We start from the raw sequence: 8,060 nt of genomic DNA, 5'->3' as shown, positions 1-8,060 counted from the left end.
CATCTTTTTTTTTTTTCCAAACAAGATAGAATTCACATACCATAAAATTCACCCTTTTGAAGTGCACCATTCAGTGGTGTTTTGTATCACAGCATCTACTTTAAGCCAGCGGTCAACCACGGGTCATCAGCAAATGCCCCACCAGTGGGCCATGTGGACACAATTAGAAGTGTTATTGGATCTGCTGCCTTCACACTTGTCGGCTCCTCTTTCCTAGGCTGACACTTTGAACTTTCTATTGCAGAGAGTCCCCTTTCACCCATCCTGGGCCCAGCAGCCCCAGAGTACCTCTGCTGGGCTGCAGCCAGGACACTATCTGCTCTGAGCTGGAATCTCCCACATTTCATTCCCTAGGCTGCCAGGGTGGAGGTCCTGAGGTTTGGAAAGGAGGCCCATGAGCCCTGAGCCCAAGGCACCCATGTTTGCTAAGGTTTGCCAGAGTCAAGGAGAATTGGCAGGGGTCGGTCCAATTTTGTGAGGCCTGAAGCCTGTATAATTTGGAGGACCCTCTTGAAGAAAAAGAATGCAAAGTGGTGAATACAAAATTAGATCTAGAGTTTTGGAAGGGGCTTCTTCAAGTGAGCACCCCGAGGTACAAGATTCATTAGCTTCACAGTAAATCTGTCTGTCTGGGCATTGGGCATTGTGTTTCCCTGATGGGAATGGAGCCCTGGGAAGTACCCAGGACTTGGGTTCATCCTTGTCTCTCCCAGGTGAGGCTTGGATCTGGAAGTCAATGAAGTTGCAGTTTTTCTTCTGCAGATGAAGTGGCTGGTACTGGATATCCACTAAAAACAGCCCCCTCTGTAGGGTGGAGGTACCCACAAAGGGAGCCTGCGGTCTAGGCGCAGGATGGGGTTATCACCACAGAGCCTGGATGAAAGGGCTGACCAGTTTGCTGAGGACCAAACTGTAAATGACTCTCATGTGCACCCTGCTCTCGCCCACCAGCCAAACCTCCAGCCCCCAGCAGGAGTGGGAGTGGGGCACATCTGACAGTTGGCTCTCGGTGCCCTGGAGAGCCATGCCACTTGCACTTGATTGCAACAGGGACACATTCTACTCTACTCTGTGGGCCCATCAGCTTTTGATTCTGAGCCAACCTGGTGTCATGATCTGTCCTGAGATAAATGCCTCTTGCAAGTCCAAAGGCTCCTACCTGGGGGCACATTCCAGGTGTGTTGGGCAATAATTTGGTTATTTCCCTGCACAGGTTTGCCTCTTCTTGCATCAAGTTGGCCTTCTTTTGAAGCTTCAGGAGCCTTGAAAAGAGCCCTGCCCAGTCTCTCTTCTGAAGCCTTTCTTGCTCAACACAGTGTACTATGGAAATCTTCACAGCATATTGCATTATGGCAAAAATACCAAAATCTCAACCATAGAGTGACTACAAAAACCACGGCTAGGTTTGCCTTGAAAACACAATAACCTTTTTTAACTTAAAAAGAAAAACAGGCCCCTCTCTCTTCCTTTCTCCACCATTGTAGTGTGTGTTTGGCTCCGCCTCTCTCCATGTCTTCTCACAAGACTTTCAAGATTAAGCAATTCCTGGCCAAGAAACAAAAGCAAAATCGTCCCATTCCCCAGTGGATTCGGATGAAAACTGGTAATAAAATCAGGTACAACTCCAAGAGGAGACATTGGAAAAGAACCAAGCTAGGTCTGTAAGGAATTGAACATGAGATGGCACACATATTTATGCTGTCTAAAGGTCACAATCATGTTACCATATCAAGCTGAAAATGTCACCACTATCTGGACAGTTGGACATGTTTTTTTGGGAATATACTTTTTCTCTCTGAATCTGTTAGGAACTTTCTGGTTGGCTGGGTTCCGTAATAAATACATGAGACCTTTCATTTCAAAAAAAAGAAAAATAGGCCTCCTTCCCAGGGGCTCCGGATTTCATCAGCCTTCTGTGCATGCCCAGCCATACAAACCACGCAGGGATGGCTCCAAGTGCACTGTGGCCTCTTTGAACTGCAGGCCTTTGCACATCCCAATCCTTTTCCTCGCAATGCCTTTCTCATCTCTTTTCTCCTCCAGCTTGAACATCGCTTCCTCCTGGCAGCCTCCCCTCTCCAGCTTCCTTTCTGCTCCCACAGGACCATGATGGGGAGGACAGCTGGGATGTGCAGAATGAAGGAACTCTTGCTAGCAGACATTAGTCTGTAGCTCTTCTTGGGTCAGAAGGAGCCACAGGTAAAAAGACGTAACCGAGCTTTTTAATTATACAGGTGTTTACTCTTGTCCTTGCGCTGGTGTCACAGGTGGCCCTGCTTGATCAGTAGCCCTGTAGGATATTCTGACCAAAGTTCCCAAGCCCTTCCTCCTTGGCCAGGTGCCCATCCCCCATTGCCATTCACTGAAAGTGGGAGAGGTGGGAGAGGATAAAAGGGACTCTGTGGGTGGAGTCTTCAGGTCAGAGAAGGAGAAGCTGAGCCCGAGGGCTTGGGGAGCAGAGTGAATGAGCAGGTGGAGGTGGAGGTAGGTGTGTGAGCCCAGAACTGGCCCTGCCAGATGGCTGGTCCCTGAGTCAGGCCCAGGCGCTGACTGCCACATGGGCAGTAGCCAGCCCCAGCCATGGGAACAGCAGGCGGAATCAGAACTCTCTCCACCCCTAGGAGAGCCGCACCTGCCTGGAGCTTCTCCTGCCTGGCCCTGACAGCCCTGGGCTCCCTCTGGGAGAGGATAGGGGCAGGGGCAGCAGCAAGGGAAGGGTGGGGTGAAACACTTGTTATCAGGGCAGCAGTTCCCAGCCATGCCTTGTAGTGTTTGGGTCCCAAGAACAACTCACAGGGGTTGTTGATCAAGGCCACAAAGATCTGAGCCAGGCAAGGTCCAGGGAAAGGCTTCCCCAGAGCCTCCATGCCATCCCTAGGTGCCAACCTCCCACCCCTTCCTCCCTGGAAGCCAGAGCACCACAATAAAGGGAGGGGGAGAGGTTGGTGATGCCTTCTGGGGAATGGCAGCATTTGTCTCCCAGTCCCTGCCCCTTCTGTTCCCAAGTTCATGGGAAAGGAGGACCTGTCCTGTGCCACAAGAAAGACTCTGGCCTCACACCTGTCAGTGTACCTCTACTTGGGGCAGCATTTTCAAAGGCCTGTGCTCAAGTCCTGTGCCTCTTTCCTGCAGCCCCCAAGCTGGACCGTCAAGGCGTGGTCCTGGGAACAGTGTGGTCAGCTCAGGGGCCTGTGGTTGAACTTTTGCAGCCATCCCACCACTTGTCCATTGAAAGATATTCACCTCTCAGACCTCCCCTTGCACATGTACGCACTCAACTAATAGCCATTAAGGACCCAGCATGTACCACACCCATTCTAGATACTGGGGGGAGTCAATGGGGAATAAAGCAGACAAAATCCCTGCCCCATGGAACTTCACTCTAGCAGGAGTGGGGTGGGGGAAGACAAACAGGAAACTAAACTTGATAGAGTATGGGAGAACAATAATTCTTAAACTCTCTGTGGTGAAAAATCAGTTGTTTTTTTTCAATCTGCATTTGGATTTCTGAGCAATATCAAATTTAGAGATCCCATAGCTAGAGATGCTATAGCATAGAAGCTTCCAAATGCATCCCCTCAATTTCTGTATGTGTGTCCTCTTGCAGTGCTGGTCCACACTGTGTGCCAAGGTGACAAGAGCTTTGGGGGAAAAAAGGGAAGGACAAGAGGGATGAGGAGTTTGAAGCAAGGTGGTGGGGCTGCGGGAGAGTTGCAGTTTTAAAGAGGCGTTATTAAGAAGGTGACATTTGAGCAAAGATTTGAAGGAGGTAAGGGAGTGAGCCATGTGTGTAACTGAGAAATGCGCATTCCAGATAGAAGCTTTAATAAAAGGAAAGAGAATTTATAAACTTGGACTTCAACTGGTTGAAGCCCCGCTGAGGGGCGAAGGGCAGGGGCAGGAAGCAAGGGAGCATTGTAGGAGGGACACCTGTGAAGGAAAGGCCCCCCAAATCATCCCAGGCCCACCAGCATCCTGAGTGGGGCCACAGTTACATTCTACCTGGTCTCCTCTCCTTTCAGAACCTTCTTTCTTTACAAGCCAGCTCTCAACACCTGATATGAGGGTCACTCACAACACAGGCCATTCTTTTAATAAAATGACATTGTTTTCTGTGCTCAGTGCATCTACCTCCAGCTTTGAACACAAGAGGTGCTTTAACCCAGGACGTGGTCTGAGCCCTGCTTCTGCATCTATAGGCACAGGGCCATGACTGTGAGGAAGTTTCTATCCATCTGACTGGCTTCTGCATCTGAGCCCGGGTTATATGGCACAGGAGACATGTGGCAAGATGAAGATTCCTTCCTCCATTGTATGCACTTCCACGCCTGCTCATGCACACCACATGCATACATACACTTTCACACCAAACACACAGGCATGAAATACACTCATGGGCTTGTCCACATGCACACCTGCCACAAACACCCATCATAAGCCTCCAGGTAAACAATATGGGCATGCGCACTTATACACACACTTGCACACACATACACATTTTTGGAGGCTTGAATGCACACCCACGCCCAACACACACCCCCTCAGGCAGGCACACATGGGTCCCCTAAACATGGACTCAGTCTTCCTACAGGAGAATTTCTATTCTGAGCAAACACCCAGCATCTGCAGTCAATGGCAAACAGATGAATGGGACAAAATTCACTCATGTGTCCTGGTGGCCCTACCAATACAGCCCTGAAGGAGCAGGCAGCAGGCTTATCCCTTCACCAGCAGGCCTTCAGAAGGGCAAGACCAGGGTGGGGATCAGGTTTGGCCAGGAGAACACTCAGAGCTTCTGGGTACTGACTCAAAGCCAGGGGCCGACAGCCTTGTGCATTCCTGACAAGTAGGTCACCATGACAAGGAGCACTGGCTCACATGCTGGGACCTACGGTGACTGGAAAAGACTTGGGGAAAATCCAGCTGTTGTGAGACAGCCAGTGTTAGTAGGTGCTGCCTTCCCATACCAGTGAGTTAGGTTGGGTCTATGCAGCACCGGAGCTATGGAGTGTGTGTCAGCGGCAAGGGCTCCTGCTCAGCACAGCAAAGACTAGGAGAAGAAGAGGGCAGTGGCTTACCAGGGACTGTAGCGCTGGGAAGGACGGGTGAGGCAGGGGACACATTATGAATAGTGTTATTTTTTAGCACACCAGTGTGTTAGGCACTGTGCTGGGTGTTTTTCATGTATTATCTTGCAAGATACAGCCCTGCAAGTTAGATTTTATTGCCTCCATTTTACAGATGAGGAGACTGAGGCTCAGAGGGCTTAAATAAATTACTCTAGGTCTTCAGCTAATAGGGGCAGAGCTCAGATATGAGTCAAGGCTTGTCTGACTCCAGATCTCAGACTTTCTCAACATCTTCATGTTGAAGCTAAAACTTGCATTTTAAACTATCAAAAGCAAGAGGGATCTAAGGAGACATGGCAACTAAAGGTACTGTGGTATCCCGGATGGGATCCTGGGACAGAAAATAAACATGAACTTTAGTTAATGACAATTTTAATTGTGATACATGTACTTTACTAATGCAAAAGTGTTAATAATAGAGGAAACTGGGTGCAGGGTATACAGGAACTATTTATACTATCTTAATGATTCTTCAAATCTAAAACTGTCCTAAAATAAAAGACTTATTTTTTAAACTTTGCATTTTTGCCAGCAGCAGGAAGCAGTAGATAACCAACATTCCAAGGTGCAGCCTGTGTATAAGGCCTGAAGAGGCCAGGGCCCCTGGAAAGTTTCTCAAAATAAGAGGCCATTCTGGACTTTGTACCACTGAGTTCCCATCACCTACATAACTTGAAATAGAGACATTAATTGCAGGGCTGTGATCACAGCCAACACCACCTTCCTAAATGGGGCAAAAGGGCGCTGAAGTCGGGCAGAGCAGCTGCAAACTGGCATGAATTCCCAAGGCTGTGACAGAGAATTCTTGCTGGGTGTGCCTGTACCTCCCTGACAATGTGGCCTGGCCAAGCTGACGTCCCTCCATTTTCTCAACTGTTGCCACTAGAATGTAGTAGGAACAATGTATAAGTCTTATACTTCTTTTATTAAATTTATTCTTAGATATCTTATTCTTAGTAATACTACTATAAATGTAGTTGCTTTCTTGATTTCATTTTCTGATATTTTATTTCTAGTACATGAAAATAAAATTCATTTTTGTATATTGATCTTATGTTTTGTCACCTTGCTGAGCTTGCTTATCAGTCCTAACAGTTTTTTAGTGGATTCCTTAGGATTTTCTATATACTGCAAGATTATGGCATCTACAAATAAAGATAGTTTAAGTTCTTTCTTTCCAATCTTGATGCCTTTTATTTCATTTTCTTGCCTAAGCTTCAGTACAATGTTGAATAGAATTTGTGGGAACAAATATCCTTACCTTGTTCCTGATCTTAGGGGGAAAGCATTCAATTTTTCACCATTAAATATAATGTTAAGCTGTGATGTTTTCAAAACAAAAAGAAAATAGTTGCCCTTTATCAGACTGAGGAAATTCCTTTCTATTCCTGGTTTGTTGAATGTTTCCATCCTGAAAGAGTATTAAATGTTTTCAAATGCTTTTTTGGCATCTATTGAAATGATCATGTGGTTTAGTCATTAATTCTATTAATTCTGGATAACATTGATATCCAGATGTTAAGCCAACCTTGCATTCCTGGGATAAATCTCATTGAGTCATACAGTATACTCCTTCATATATGTTACTAACTTCATTTTGCTAGTATTTCACTGAGTATTTTTCCCACAAGAATGTGATCCAGGAAGGAAGGGCTGCATATGCCCCACTCGCCACATTGTCCCCATTCCCTCTAGCAATGCCAGGCACAGAGAGTGCTCAGTGAACCTCAACAAGTGAATGAAAAAGTCAATCTATAAAACACAGGATCTCATGGGCCTCCAAAGAGTTCACACTAGGAATAGTGACCATCATATTATCACAAATGTCTAAGTATGCATAATCCACATAAACTGGAGAGTCAAGGGAGGTTATAAAAAACCCAAACTTAGAATGAAGCCCTTGCTGAATGAGGGGGCATTGGGTGGCTTGCTCCACTACAGTCAAGGGTGTCTCACTTTAGGTTCCAGACCAAGAGGCAGAAGCTTATGGGGACGTGGGGCCCTCTCTCCACATACAGGTCCCCCCAGACTAAGGAAACATGCCAAGGTCTCAGGTGGTGACATATGATCTAGGACTGCCATGAGCAAACATAAGACAGATGAGTGGATATTTTGTGGAAAGCAGGGTCTTATCTGCTGTGGTCTGGGTAGGGATCTGTGGACCCTGTGGCAGTCAAGCTTGTCCTTGTTGACAGGTATGATCTTAATGCAACTTCTAAGCAGGTTTCTTAAGCTCATCCTGAGACCACAGTTATTAATCTAAACTCTGGGGGCTGACATGAGGATTAAATGAGATAATAAATGACGACCCCTTAGCATGATGCCTGGCATAGACTAAGTGTTCAGTAAATGGGGACATTATTGTTTTATGCTAACTTTTATTATTGTTTTATGCTTTTATTATTTTTACAATTATTTTAGAAGGATGTCCACTGACAGCCAGACTCTGTTATAGCTTCTTTTTATTCATAACTTCAAAAATGTGGCAGTCTCTTCCAGTAGGCACCATTTGAGTCAATCCAAGACCCAAAGAGCACAAGGTGCTCCCCAGGAGCAGCTGGCTGGGCACCACCCTCACCTGCTATCTGGACACAGATGAGGGGTGCTTCAAGACAAACAGGAAAGAAAGCTTTTCTTTCTCCCTGAATAAAAGCCCTGGGGGCAAGGGAAGTTGCCCTCCCTCTCACCCTCTGTCCCCCTACCCCATTTCAGGCTGGCTGTTTATGCCCACAATAAGGACAGTCCAGTCACAACACAAAGGCCATGGCACAAGAGGGCACCATAGGAAGAAAGCTGGGCACAGCCAGAGAGCTGGGTGCCCTGCCTGCCAGCTCTAAGAGGATCCCTGGTTCTTCTGTCCTGTGTGGTGGGAACTCCTCTCTGGATTCTGGCACCAGACTTCTAGCTCTTCATCTCCTCCATACCTGCCTT

General features: G+C 47.0%; 1 pseudogene; it reads left to right on the top strand.

The window, feature by feature from the left end:
- On the top strand, positions 1,455-1,862 carry RPL39P5 (ribosomal protein L39 pseudogene 5; annotated as a pseudogene).

Source organism: Homo sapiens, chromosome 3 (assembly GCF_000001405.40).
Source record: "Homo sapiens chromosome 3, GRCh38.p14 Primary Assembly".
Taxonomy (NCBI): domain Eukaryota; kingdom Metazoa; phylum Chordata; class Mammalia; order Primates; family Hominidae; genus Homo; species Homo sapiens.
The sequence above is the reverse complement of the archived record's forward strand: the minus strand, read 5'-3'. Positions and strand labels throughout refer to the sequence as shown.